Raw genomic sequence first — 14,030 nt, 5'->3', positions numbered from 1 at the left:
TTGAGAAAGTTTGGACTAAGATTATTTCTAGCCACCTAAGACTCACATTCCCAGGGATAAACCCCAGCAGATGGGATGCTAATCCATCACAAAGGGTTTTCTCTGAGAAGGAGATTTTATATTCATACAGAAATAAAGAAGGAGGTAGACAATTGAGGGCTGGATCAAATTTCTGTATTTTTACAAATACCAGAACAAACAAAATCTGTTTCCTATGGCATTTGCATTTGGGGGAGTATCATTTAAAAGAAAAAAAGAATGTCCTAGTTCTATAATTCACAGAAAGTATTGGGGTCTATAGTTACCGTTCCTCTTTTTTTTTTTTTTCCTTTGAGACAGGCTCTTGCTTTGTCAACCAAGGCTGGAATGCAGTGGTGCAATCATAGCTCACTGCAGCCTCTGACTGTTGGGCTCAAGCAATCCTCCTGCCTCACTCAGCCTCCCAAGGAGGTGAGACTACAGGTATGTACCACCACATTTGGCTAACATTTTAAATTTTTATAGATATGGGGTCTCTCTACGTTGCCCAGGCTTGTCTCAAACTACTGGGCTCAAGTGATCATCCCACCTTGGCTTCCCAAGGTGTTGGGATTACAGGCATGAGCCACTGCACCCAGCCCCAATCTTTGATGTATTAGCACTAAATGCAAAACAGTGGCTTTCCAATGGAGAAATGGAATTTTCTCCTGTGGAAGAGACCTGAGTTATAAATTGTATGATCAGAGGAAATGAGAGGAGGAGGGTGGTGGTTTCCAAGAAGACAGTTTGGTTTGCCCCAAGAGCTGTCATTACTGGGGTGAAAGGGCAGTACCTGGCAGCATTTGACTCTAGGAACACCTGGATCGTGCGGTTCTGCCTGCCAATCATTGTGGAGCTGCGCCAAACGAGCTCCTGGCAAGAAGTCAAAGCAGTGATTTTGATTCTTTTGTAGCTATAAGTCAGGATTTCTCAACCTTGGCAGTACTGTCATTTGGGGCCAGACAACTGCCTGTTGTGGGGAGCTGGGGGGACTGCTCTGTGCATTGTAGGGTGTTTAGCAGTATGTCCGGCTTCTATCTATTAGATACCAGGAGGACACCCCAACCCCACCCCATCTGCAAGCTACGACAACCAAAAATGTCTTCAGGAATGGGCAAATATCCCCTGGGAGGCAAAACTGCCTCCCCCTGAGAACCACTGCTCTAAATGTTACCTAGTTCCATGGACAGTGTCTCCTCGCTCTCCATTGCGTGGGACAAGGAAATCAGCAACTCAACATTTTCTCTAATAGAGTTTTCTCCCCTCTGTTTCTCCTCTTCTAGAAACTATACCATATTTTTACATATTTCGGTTTATGACACATATATGCCCTATAAACTGTAATTATACGTTTCTTGTCTGCAGGTAGACAATAAGTTGGCAATACTGGTTGCTTCCAGAGTGAGAAACTGGGTGGCTGGAGATAGATATGGAGGGAGATACTTTTCAGTATTTGCTTAGATATCCTTTGGATTTTTTCCATTTTTCTTTTTTAGAGATAGAGCCTTGCTTTGTCACCCAGGCTGGGCTCAAACGATCCTCTTGCCTAAGCCTCAGCCTCCTGAGCAGCTGGGACTACAGGAACTCACCACTATGCCCACCTAGTTTCTCTTTTTTGTCAAGATGGGGTCTCCCTATGTTGCCTAGGCTGGTCTCGAACTCCTGGCCTCAAGCGATCCTCCTGCCTCAGCTTCCCAAGGCTCTGGGACTACAGGAACTCACCACTATGCCCACCTAATTTCTCTTTTTTGTCGAGATCGGGGGGTGGTCTCCCTATGTTGCCTAGGCTGGTCTCGAACTCCTGATCTCAAGCGATCCTCCCGCCTCAGCCTCCCAAGGTTCTGGGATTACAAGCCACTGTGCCTGGTCTCTTTGGGGTTTTATACCACGTGGCAGTGTAACTTTTTCAAAAAATAAGTGAAATCTTGAAAATTGTCTCCTGTGAATTGCACACAGTATGAATAGCACGGTCACATCTTTTTAAAAGATAAGTAAAAATAATCTGTATTATTACACCCAGGAGGAGAGGGAGAAATCTGGAATAACACACATGAAACTCCAAGCAGCAGTTATCACCAGAGGGTGAATTAGCAGAGTTTTTCACCTTCTATGAAAATATTTTTATAAATAAATTTTTAAAATAATTTGCATGAGTATTGTGTTAGTAATTGGAGAAAACAACAGGAACAGTCAAAGAAAAAGATCTATTTCCAAGGTCACTGGGAGCTCCTCAAGTTTGGGAAGTGAGAAAGAGGGAGAACCTTCTGGAAGCAGCAGATGTGGGAGCCCCAGACACAGAAAGCAGGGACCCTAGATAGAGGCTGATGATTGAATTAGGGGGTACAATGAGGGGGGCATGAATTAAGAGGGAAATGAAAATAAATGAGCAGACGCTGGAACAGGAAGGATAGTTCTATGTCATTGGATGGGTTATGAATTTCCCTGAGCCTGACTCAGTTTCCTCAGCTATAAAATGGAAGTCATTGTAATACGTAAGTGGCCAACATTTATCCTTACATTGTTCTGTCACCGTCTATGTGTGGGTTGTATTTAATCCTCACAGCAGCCCTATGAGTTAGGTACTACTAGAATCATCCCAGTTTACAGATGAGTCATTTGAAGCACAGAGAGGTTAAGTAACTTGGCCCAAGGTCACACAGCAAGAAAGTGGCAGAGGCAAGAAAGTGGCAGAGGCAGGATTTTAACCCAGGAGGTCTGGCTCTGGAGCCTGAGTTCTGTAGATGACTAGGGCTGGGACTAAGCACAATATCAGACACATGGTAAGCAGAACAGGCATGAAAGACTATGATTATGTTAAAAGGCTAGGATTCCTCATCCACCAAGTACCATATTAAAGGATGTAGTGCCTCCCACTAAGAGGAAAGCACAATGCCCTTCCCATCCCATGCCAGCCTTACTGTCCCCAGAAACTGCCCTGGCTTTTTTTTTTTTTTTTTTTTTTTTTTTTTTTTTTTTGAGGCAGGGTTTGGCAATGTCGCCTAGCCTGGAATGCAGTGGCGCAATCTTAGCTCACTGCAATCTCTGCCTCCCGGGCTCAAGCAATTCTTGTGCCTCAGCCTCCCGAGTAGCTGGAACCACAGGCATGCACCACCACACCCAGCTAATTTTTGTACTTTTAGTAGAGACGAGGTCTTGCCGTGTTCTCTGGGCTGGTCTGGAACTCCTGGACTCAAGTGATCTGCCCACCTTGGCCTCCCAAAGTGCTGGGAATACAGGCTTGAGTAACCATGCCCAGCCTGCCCTGGCACACTTAAAGGCAGCATTTGTCCTACCAGAACACAGAACTCTCCAAAACTTTGACAGGTGGAGATCCCTGCAAGGTGACTGTCTAGATGAGAAGCGGGTGGTAGGGTGCGCCTAAAGCCCTAGCTACTTGGGAGGCTGAGGCAGGATGATTGCTTGAGGCCAGGAGTTTGAGACCAGCCTGGGCAACACAGCCAGACCTTGTCTCTACAAAAAATTAAAAAATCAGCTGGGTGTAGAGGCGAGCACCTGTAGTCCCAGCTACTCAGGAAGCTGAGGTGGGAGGATCGCTTGAGCCGTGACTTTAAGGCTGCAGTGAGCTACAATTGTGCCACTGCACTGCAACTTGGGCAACAGAGCAAGACTCAGTCTCTAAAACTAAATAAATAAATAGATGAGAAGGGGTTCAAGGAAAAAGTGCTTTATGGATGCAACTACTGTGCCATTCCCCCACTCCTGTAGAGGGCGGTCACAGCATTTACTGTAGCTAATGTTGATTGAGCACCTACTAAGTGCCAGGCACTGTTCCGAGTGTTTCATCTTTAATCCCCACAAAAGGGTGGGCTCGGGCTGGGTGCGGTGGCTCACGCCTGTAATCCCAGCACTTTGGGAGGCTGAGGCGAGTGGATCAACTGAGGTCAGGAGTTCAAGACCAGCCTGGCCAACATGATGAAAGCCCATCTCTACTAAAAATACAAAAAAATTAGCCAGGCCTGGTGGTGGGCACCTGTAATCTCAGCTACTTGGGAGGTTGAGGCAGGAGAATTGCTTGAACCTGGGAGACAGCGGTTGCAGTGAGCTGAGATTGCACCATTGCACTCCAGCCTGGGCAACAGAACGAGACTGTCTCAAAAAAAAAAAGAAAGTCGGGCTTGGTGGCTCATGCCTGTAATCCCAGCACTTTAGGAGGCTGAGGCAGGAGGATCTTTTGAGCCCAGAAGTTCAAGGCTGGACTGGGCAACATAGTGAGACCCCCATCTCTACAAAAATTTAAAAAATTAGCCAGGCATGGTGGTGCGTGCCTTTGGTCCCAGCTACTCGGGAGGCTGAGGCAGGAGGATCGCCTGAGCCTGGGAGGTTGAAGCTGCATAAGCTACAATCACAACACTGCACTCCAGCCTGGGCAACAGAGCGAGACAACAATTCAAAAAAAAAAAATCCCACAAAAACCCTATAGGATAGGTGCCATTATTGTCCTCATTTTACAGATAAGGAAACTGAGGCACAGAAGAATCAGATAACTGCCACATTCACTGTGCTAGGAGGTGATGGAACCTGGATTGCATGTCAAGATCACACAGACTCCTCTACAGACCACCCAGGTAACATGGGGTGACTTATTCAACCTCTTTGAACCTTTGTCTCCTAATCTGCAGTCTGGAACTAGCAGGGGTTATTGAAAGGATAAAAGGTAACACATGCCCCTTATTCATTCAACAAGTATTTATAGGACATCTACTGTGTGCCAGGCACTGGGGATGTATCTGCAAGCAAAACAAAAAAAATCCTACCCTTCTGGAATGCACACATTAGTAGGGGGACACGTATGTGGGTTAGCTCAGTAGATCTTCACAACCCCATAGGCAAGCTACTATTATTGCACCTGTTTCACAGATAGGGAAAAGGATCCCAGAAGTGGCAAACCCAAGTTCACCCTTCTGAGAAATGGTGGGACCTGGATTAGATAATATTCAGTCTCCGGAGTTTGACTTCCTGAGTTCAAATCCCACAGTTTCCATTTAATTGCTGTGGTCAAGTTACTTAACTGTCTGAAACTGGATCTCCCAAGGGTAAAATAGGACCAGGAGACCCTATTTCGTAGATTACCCCAGGAGAAATAACAACATCTAACATTTAGGAAGCAAACAAGGCTCACAGAATCTCTGTGAGGGAAGTCTAATTTTAACCTTTCTTTTTCCTTTTGTTTTTTTAAACAGGTGTGGAAACTGGAGCCCAGAGAGCATAAGTAACCTGTCCAGAGATGCACAACACACAAATAGTGCGCTTCCAAAGCTCATGTTCGCTCTCACCCAGGCCGCTGCTCAGATAAAAAACTTACCGGATCGGACATGGTGAAGTAAGCACCTGAGAAACGGGTGCGATTATTCTTTTCTTCCTGCACCTGCAGGGCGGGCTGCACGAAGGCGGCGGCCAGGCCGTGTGCATTCCCCGGAAGCTTTCTTAATGCAAAGTGACAGAGCGCGGCGGTCTGGGGCTGGAGCCGCTGCCCCCTCCACGTGCTCCCCAATTCCGGCGCCTGGTGGTTCTCCCCGCACTCCGGCGCCGCACCCCGCTGGCTCCCCGCTCCCAGCCCGTGCTGCCACGCTTGGGCGCCCCGCATTGGGGACACCCCTCCCAGTTCTTCCCAGCCTCTCTGGGAGCCGGCGAGGGGGCTCCGCCAAGACGCCCCTGCTAGGCTGGCAGCCCGGGCGCTGGCCCCACTCCTGGCGAACCCGCCTCACCTCCTGGCGCTCCTGTTGCCGCTGCTTGCGCTGGCCCTCGGGTCGACCCTGGCCCGAAGCAGCCCGCAGGCGGCGCTCCCTGCACCGGAGCCGGCCTTCCTGCCTCGGGGCCGATCGCTTTCTTCTGAGAATTGAGCCAGTTCCTGCTGGGTTGGGACGCCTGCTGGCATCCGAGACCTCTATTCACCGCCCGTAGTCTGCATTCATTCTTTCTTTCCATGACCCAGCCTTACCTGATGGCCACCAGACGCCGCGCAGGCCTGGGTGGGGCGGCGCTCGGAGGACCCAGCAGGCTCATGGGCCAGGGCTGTGCTCTCCAAAACTCTGGCCAAGAGCCACATCATCTAATCCTGAGAGATGCAAGTCCTCTAATGATTATCAGTAACTACGAGATAAATGCAAATCAAAACCATAATGAGATATTGGAACAGGAATTAAAAGAAATTAAAGAGTGTATAAGCAGAAACTCAGTTGTATGTAAGAAAACTCAATTCCCCCTGAGAAAGAGAAAGAGCTGGAGTCCTTTTAAAACTAACTGCCTATTTTTCTGTGGCTAGTGAGCCTTCTCTCCCCTCCTTTCCCAGGCATTGTGAAGACCCTGATTCCCTAGCTGTGTAGCTGCAAGGTCACTAGACAGATAAACTCAAGTAACAAAACATGTTTTTCCTTGAAAAGTAAGAAATGATGTAATGCATGTCTCAATTGAATAACTGCCTTTGTTTCTCGCTTCTGTAGTATGCTTCCCCCTGCACAGATCTCCCTACCCCTACGAAATGCTTAAAAGTTAACTTAACTCTTTGTTCAGTGCTCAGTCCTTTGGATGTTAATCCGACTGGGCCGGTGCACCTAAATAATTAATAAATATCCTCCTGAACCCCATAGGTCTCTGTGATTCCTTAAAAATCCCGCAACAGGCCAGGCGCACTGGCTCAAGCCTGTAATCCCAGCACTTTGGGAGGCCGAGGCCAACGAATCACGAGGTCAGGAGATCGAGACCATCCTGGCTAACATGGTGAAACCCCGTCTCTACTAAAAATACAAAAAAATTAGCCGGGCATGGTGGCAGGAGCCTGTAGTCCCAGCTACTCGGGAGGCTGAGGCAGGAGAATCGCATGAACCCGGGAGGCGGAGCTTGCAGTGAGCCGAGATCGCGCCACCGCTCTCCAGCTCTGGGCGACAGAGCAAGACTCCGTCTCAAAAAAAAAAAAAAAAAAATCCCGCAACATTTCCAGCTCACATCTACTAGGCTGGCCACTATCAAAAAACAAAAACAAACAAACAAAAAATAAGTGTTGATGAGGATGTGGAGAAATTGTGCACTGTCGGTGGGAATGCAAATTGGGTGCCACCGTGGAAAACAGTATAGTGGCAAAAAAACAAAAACAGAAAGGTATATATCTAAAAAAATTCAAAGCAAGGTCTCAAAATGACATCCGGGCCAGGCATCATAGCTCAGGCCTGTAGTTCCAGCACTTTGGGAGGTTGAGGCAGGTGGATCACTTGAGCCCAGGAGTTTGAGACCAGCCTGGGCAGCATGGTGAAACCCAGTTTCCACAAAAAAATACAAAAATTAGCCAGGCATGGTGGCACATGCCTGTAGCTCCAACTACTCAGGAGGCTGAGGTACGAGGATGGCTTGAGCCTGGGAGGTGGAGGCTGCAGTGAACAGTAATCGTGCCACTGCACTCTAGCCCAGGCAACAAAGGAAGACCCTGCCTCAAAAACAAAACAAAACAAAACAACAACAACAACAAAAGATATTTGCACACCCATGTTTATTGCAGCATTATTCACAATAGTCAAGCATTAAAAGCAAACTAAATGTCCATCAGCAGATGAATGGGTAAAGACAATGTGGTTACATACATACAATGGAGTATTGTGCAGCCTTAAAAAAGAAGGAAATCCTATCACATACTACCACGTGGATGAACCTCAAGGACATCATGCTAAGCGAAATAAGCCAGGCACAGGAGGGCAAATACTGTATGATTTCAATCATTGGATGTACCTAAAGCAATGAAAATCATAGAAACAGAAAGGAGAAAGGTGGTTGCCAATGGCTTAGAGAAAGGAGGAGGGAGATAATTTGTGTGCAATGAACATAGAACTTCAGTTTTTCAAGGTGAAAACATTCTAGAGATCTGTTACAAAATGTGAATACTTCCTATACTTCACACTGATGAACCATACAGTTAAAAATAATTAAGACTGGTAAATTTAATAACGTGTGTTTTTACCACAATATTGAAATGTCATTATGTCCTTACAATGACATAAATGTAATTATGATTATTGCAACCAAGAAGAGGTATATAATGTTGTAAGAATTTATAATTAGGGGCATTCTCCCAGTGTCAGGGAAGGTTTCCCTAAGGAAATAATGCTTCAGTGAGCATCTGAGTCAAAGTCAAAGTTGGGAGGTCACATGGCAAGTCTAATTTCTTGTATATAATACAGTTATCTGTCCATTTGATCTTTTCTGCTTTGTAAATAGAATCAAGGATAATGGGGGCATGATGGCAGAGGCCTATAGTCCCCAGCTACTTAGAAGGCTGAGGCAGGAGGACTGCTTGAACCCAGGAGTTTGAGATTGTCATGAACTATGACTGCACTACTGCACTCCAGCCTGGGCAATGGAGCGAGACCCTGTCTCAAAAAAAATTTTTTTTAATGTTAAAAGGTGAAAAAGAAAATAATAATGATGACAGCAACAGCCAACATGTAATAAGAAATAATTCAATGAATTACTTAATTAACATAGTAGTTAAGTGCAGGGACTCTGAAGCCATACTATTTGACTTTGAATTCCAGGTCTGCTATATCCTTACTAGCTTCATAATCTTGGGCAAATTACTTAATCTCTCTGCCTCAGTTTCTTCATCTGTAAAATGAGGGCAATAATAGTTAGACAGCCAGGTGAGAGGAGGTCCCTCAATAATCTCCAGCCTCTCCAACTGGCCTGCACACTGGGAGGAGCCACAGAAGTTTGTGCTGTTTGCAGCAGGGAGAAGCCTGGCCCCTCCTCTTTCTGTGTGGAAACTGGGATTTGAATGGCCAGGTAGGAAGTGCTCTAACAGAGACTCTGGCCCAGTAAGAGTCCCTGTTTCCCCTTTTCTTCCCTTTTCACCCAATAAAACCCTGTCTTACCCACCATTCAAATTGCCTGTGAGCCTGAATTTTCATGATCATGGGACAAAAAACCCTATCTTTAGCTGAACTAAGGAAAAGCCCTGCGACATTTTTGGCACCCAACGTGGGGCCTGAGAAGTGGTGAGTGAGATGCAAATCAAGAATTATTTTTCTCTCTCCCTTCCGAGCCTTTTAATGCTCATGGCTTTTTCCTTCCTCTTTTGGGATGCACCAGAAAGCAGCAGCTCCCCGCTGCTCCCCACTCCCTCATGGGGCTGGGATGCATGGCCCAAGGGTTCAGCTGGCTGGCTGGTTCCCAGCCACGTGCCACCTGCCGTGGCCTTCCCTTTCCCTAGCCAAGGAGTTTAATTCTACCAGACAGTAATTAAGCTTAAACTTGTCTCCCTGGTGGAGGAACCACTTGCATAAGAATAAGACATTCTTCCCCAGGCATTTTTAAACTGTTTATTTTTCTTTCCTATTGTCCACCCTATCAGCAGTTAACCTTTAAAGTTTTTTTTTCTTTCTTTTAGAAATCGTTTTTACTAGGCCAGTCCCCAAAGCTATCACTGTTTATATTTTCTGCAAAGTTTTAGTTGTGAAATCAAGCCTCCATCTTGTTTTACATCCCAAGGGCATGGCTTGTAACTGTGGTGGCAAGGCTTTGTTTAGCAGTCCTGCCTTAGGGAATAAGTTTCTTTCTGGTTTGATATTTGCATGTTTTCCTAGCCTTTTCTGTTAAAGGGCCCTACCCAGAGGACTGGGTTTTCTTCTGCCTGTCTGTGTGTGTATTATATGTGATGTCTGTAAAAGAGCTCTAATTAATTTGGCCTAAAGAAAGACAAGCGCTTGCATCTAATGTTTTTTAAAGGGGAGATAAAAGCTGTGGTACCTTTCAGTTCACATGACTTTAATCTTTGAGAAATAAAAACAGTCTTAAAGATTATTTGTAAAAAGCAGATGTCATTAAAATGTGAGTAGGTGGACAAAATAATGCAGGTCAAATGCTAGGTTTGCTAAGTGTTTTGAGGTTACAAACTGCTTTTTGGGTTTTGAGAACTATTTGACTTGCCAGCTTCACAACTGGTAAGGCCTGGGGACCTATGCAACTAACCATACCCTTAATTATAGTGGAGTCAAAACTTATCTGTACTTAGCACACAATTAAAACAACTTGCCAGGTTTTAAATTAAAGTTAAAAATTGCTAGGGGTTACCATTATAACATGTAATTGAAACTACTGGAAATAGATTTACGTGCAAGATGTGTAAGAACAGTACGATGTGGGTTTTTTTTTTTTTTTGTAAAAGGTTATAAGAAGGCATGGAAATATACATTTTTGCCTAGGGTTAAAGGATTGTTTTAAATTAGATAGGAAAAAGCTGAAAGTTCAAAGAAGTGGTGGAAGAATTGTGGAGATTAATCTTGCAGAAAAGGTTCTCTGTGTGAACATATTAATTAAATTCAAAAGGGTATTATATGGTTTTTCTGTAAATTGAGAATTGAAATAAAAACACAACAAGGTATTCTTAAAATGCCAATCTGCTCTTTGGCAAAATTCATAAAGGGTTATAAAAGGTTTTTGCTTCTTTTAAATTTCTGAGTCATTATTTTGGCAAAATAAATAACTTATGGTAACCTGGAATTCTATTTCATAATATCAAGTGCTTTAAACATATTTAAAAGGCGTCCCAAAATCAAACTGAAATTTCAAAATTGTCTTTCCTAACACCTGGCTTTTCAGATGTTTCAGAGGGCCCATAAGTGTCCAGAAAAGAGAGGTAAACAGGATTATTTGACATGTTTAGGTACATGGGATTGCCAAAATGATGTTCAATCTTCTTTAGATTATATTTTTGGTAAATAATGCTAATATATGTTCCAAAATTATATGGGATTTCTAAAATTCTTGTGTCTGAGTATATGCTATCAATCATAATTAAGGTTTTTATGTTATGTTGTTGTAAACCATGGAGGTAACCAAACTTCTTTGTCAATTTTGTTTCTAACTGTAACTACCCTGGACATTTTGCTCTTCACAGACATTTGTTGTCCTGTTTTAATCCTTTTCAAAGACAGTTTATAATGAGCTATAGAACTTTAACAGGTGCTCTCAAATACAAACTTCTGATAACTTTAGAGATTGTACCATTGGATAAAGGAAAATGTATAGGACTCATAAAGAGCTGAAATGTTCACAAATATCAAGCAAAACAAGAGTTAACTAAATGGACTGAACTCAAAAAGCTGAAGAAACCTTTCTGACTTTTGCTTGGAACATTGCTAATCCTTGTTTTGTTTTTCAGAGTCAAGGAAACTTATTTTGAACTATTTATGGCCTTTAATAATTGAGCAAGGTATACTCCTGGAAACAAAATTTGGAGCACGTCTGTTTCTCTCCACCTGGTTCCTGTAGAATTTGGAAACTATGTGTGAGTATTCTTAAATTACAGCAATATGGTTGTTTGCATCAGTGCAAATAAGAATCCAGTTTTCTTTTGCAACAGGACACAATTGGAGAAAGTGGTTATTTTACCAAGGCTTTGACTGGAAGGGTATGTTTCCCTTTAAGGAGTCAATCTCGACTTGCAGAGCCAATAAAAGCCCAGGGGGGAAACTGGCTTCATACCCTTGCTTACGCAGTCCCTGTACAGGGTTCCTGACTTGGGGTCAGTAAAGAACGTCACTTTCTAACACATCCAGGATCTCCAACTTTATCTTGGGACCTTAAGAGGAAAGGATCACCCAACTCACGGGAATTTGAGGATAAATCCATGGCTAGCCTTGGCTTTAAAATGTCTTCTTATCTGAGATTCCTGTGGAACAAATTTCCATCAAAGCGAATCCAAAAGGCCATGTAGAAATAGTTATTCTTGCTGCACTTTATGCAAATAATCAGGCTAAGTATAAGACTGAAGTCTATTCTGCAAACCACTCAGTCCTATGATGATTTTTTTTTTTAACAAACATGTGGACTAGAGAGAGAGAAATCATGTGTCAAAACTTATATGTTTGTCATTAAATTCTAAACTCACTAGTTGTTTTTAAGTTTTCACCTACATTTTAGACTAACCCTGCTTGTTCCTGTGAACTAACCAGTAATCTCCGACTGCAACTCAGAAAGAGCAAAAGGGATGGCTAATGTAAAAATCTGGATCAATATTCTAGTTCTGAGCAATTATCTCGCAAATCCTGCCAGGTGATGGGAATAAAGAGGGTGCCCATCACCCAGAGGTTTCCTTTTTGGGAAAGTAAGACCAAGGGAGCTAACCAAAGCCAAGCACAATGCACCCAAATCCTGGCAAACATAACTATAGCCACCAGTTATCTGGGCATGTCACAAGACATCCTCTTCTTTCCCTTGTTGGAGGAGGACTCAGTTCCACAGTTTCACCTTAGCATTCAGCTTATAGTAAGGAGTCCATGCAATCCCCCCGAGACACATTTTTATCCCAAACTCAATTCCAAGCATCATGTCAAAGCCCTGGAAAGGAAAACTGAATCTGAGGAATCCAGAGTCAAATGACAACAGTAATTAAAAGGCACAGTGCAGGTGAGCATGGCTGATTCCTGACGATTAAGCCAACCCCAAGCTTCCTGTTTCATGGATAATGGCCACGTTAAAATCCATGGCATAAATGAGGTCTAGGGAACTCCAAGGCTACTGACAGTAGGGGGGATAGAGGCATAGGTGAGAGAGAATAATTCCTATTCTCTAGGCCCTCCCTGCTTCATGGGTGCAAACTGCTTTAGCACTCATGGCCATGCCTGCCAAGGTCATGGGGACTCGGGAATGCAGGATGGAAGAGGAAAGAAGACGCTCTTCCCTCTCTCCTTCATGTACCCCAGGTATCTGCTAGGAAGAGAAGGGAACCAGGGGTGACTTCTCCCCTCTTTCTAGATGGATAGCCATTCATCTTCAGTCTGTACCCCTTTCAAATGCATCCTGAAGCCCCCGGACTCCTTTGAAAAACGCCTTCTTTTTCCTTTCTCCTCCTCTGTTCTCTCATCACTGATAGGTAATTGTGTCTCCATAGTATGGGACACTCCCCTCAGATGCATCCTCCAAACTGGAAAGAGTTAATTTCCCAAACCTTAAACTGGTGGGCTTAGGATTGGCCTCAAGGGAAGGGAACCCAGAAGCCCAACATGCTGGCAAAAGGTAAAGTTTTTTTGCCAGTCAGGCTTTTGGTCTCCCTCTCCCTGTGCAAACTGATAAAAGGCTTTGAAATTTTTGAGCTGTCCTTCCCCTTCCCCTTGTTTCGTTTTGATACATGTTTTCTAATAACCTAGTTTGTCTGTTCTTGCCTTCAGACCATCAAACTCCAAACAGTCATATAACTGGAGCCTGGGATGATGGTCCCTTCTGCTGGGAACCCTTAGATAGACCTCTGAGGGAGCTCTGACTGTCATTTCCCCAAAACAGCATCCCCTGTCAGCAGGAAGCAGTTAAGATCAGTCTTTGTCCTTTTCCTTAATCTAATGGCAGTTAGATGTACTTTTTTAGAGGTGGGAATGAGACAGCTAGGTGGGAGGGGGATCCCCAGAGAACCTCCAACCTCTCCAACTGGCCTGCTCACTGGAAAGAGCCACACAAGTTTGTGACTTTGCAGCTGGGAGGAGCCTGGCCCCTCCTCTTTCTGTGTGGAATCTGGGATTTGAATGGCCAGGTGGGAAGTGCTCTAGCAGGGACTCTGACCTAGCAAGAGTCCCTGTTTCCCCCTTTTCTTCCCTTTCCACCCAATAAAACCCTGTCTTACTCACCATTCGAATTGTCTGTGAGCCTGAATTTTTGTGGCTGTGAGACAAAAAACCCCATCTTTAGCTGAACTAAAGAAAAATACTGCAACAATAGGACCTATCATTTTGGGCTTTAATGGGGATTTAATGAGTAGCTTATATAAAGAGTTATACCTATAGTGCCTGCCACACATAAAAGTGTGTAAGTGCTTGTTAAATAAAAAGAAATTTAGTTCCGTGTAATAACTGTGCTGACCATTTTACATGCTATCACAAAGTCCTCCCATCCCTTTAAACATATCCTTTTCAATGTGATCTTGCAGGATCAGAATTCATCACCCCACTCAAAAGTAGGGTGAATCTCAGAGTCTGGGGCAATAGCTCACTCCTGTAATCCCAGCACTTTGGGAGGCT

At 44.3% G+C, this 14,030-nt stretch overlaps 1 protein-coding gene across 3 annotated transcripts in view, besides 1 other annotated feature; it reads right to left on the bottom strand.

Moving 5' to 3' along the window:
* Window positions 1-5,979, bottom strand: part of TMC5 (transmembrane channel like 5) — an 88,575-nt gene extending 82,596 nt beyond the window's left edge. For 2 of the 3 annotated variants that reach the window (NM_001105248.1, NM_001105249.1), the window contains exon 1: window positions 5,342-5,783. The gene's annotated coding sequence lies outside the window, so the exon portion shown is untranslated. Of the gene's footprint in view, window positions 1-5,341 lie in introns of all 3 variants that reach the window. The other variant, NM_001308161.1, reaches the window with a different exon arrangement.
* Window positions 5,686-5,765: a silencer, noted in NCBI's record as "silent region_7244". NCBI's record gives its function as "represses an Ori minimal core promoter by ATAC-STARR-seq in GM12878 lymphoblastoid cells {active_cell/tissue: GM12878}" and the evidence as "EXISTENCE:reporter gene assay evidence [ECO:0000049][PMID:35858748]".
* Window positions 5,980-14,030: the final 8,051 nt, after the last annotated feature.

Source organism: Homo sapiens, chromosome 16 (assembly GCF_000001405.40).
Source record: "Homo sapiens chromosome 16, GRCh38.p14 Primary Assembly".
NCBI lineage: Eukaryota > Metazoa > Chordata > Mammalia > Primates > Hominidae > Homo > Homo sapiens.
Note: the sequence above shows the minus strand (reverse complement) of the source record. Positions and strands in the feature narration are given on the sequence as shown.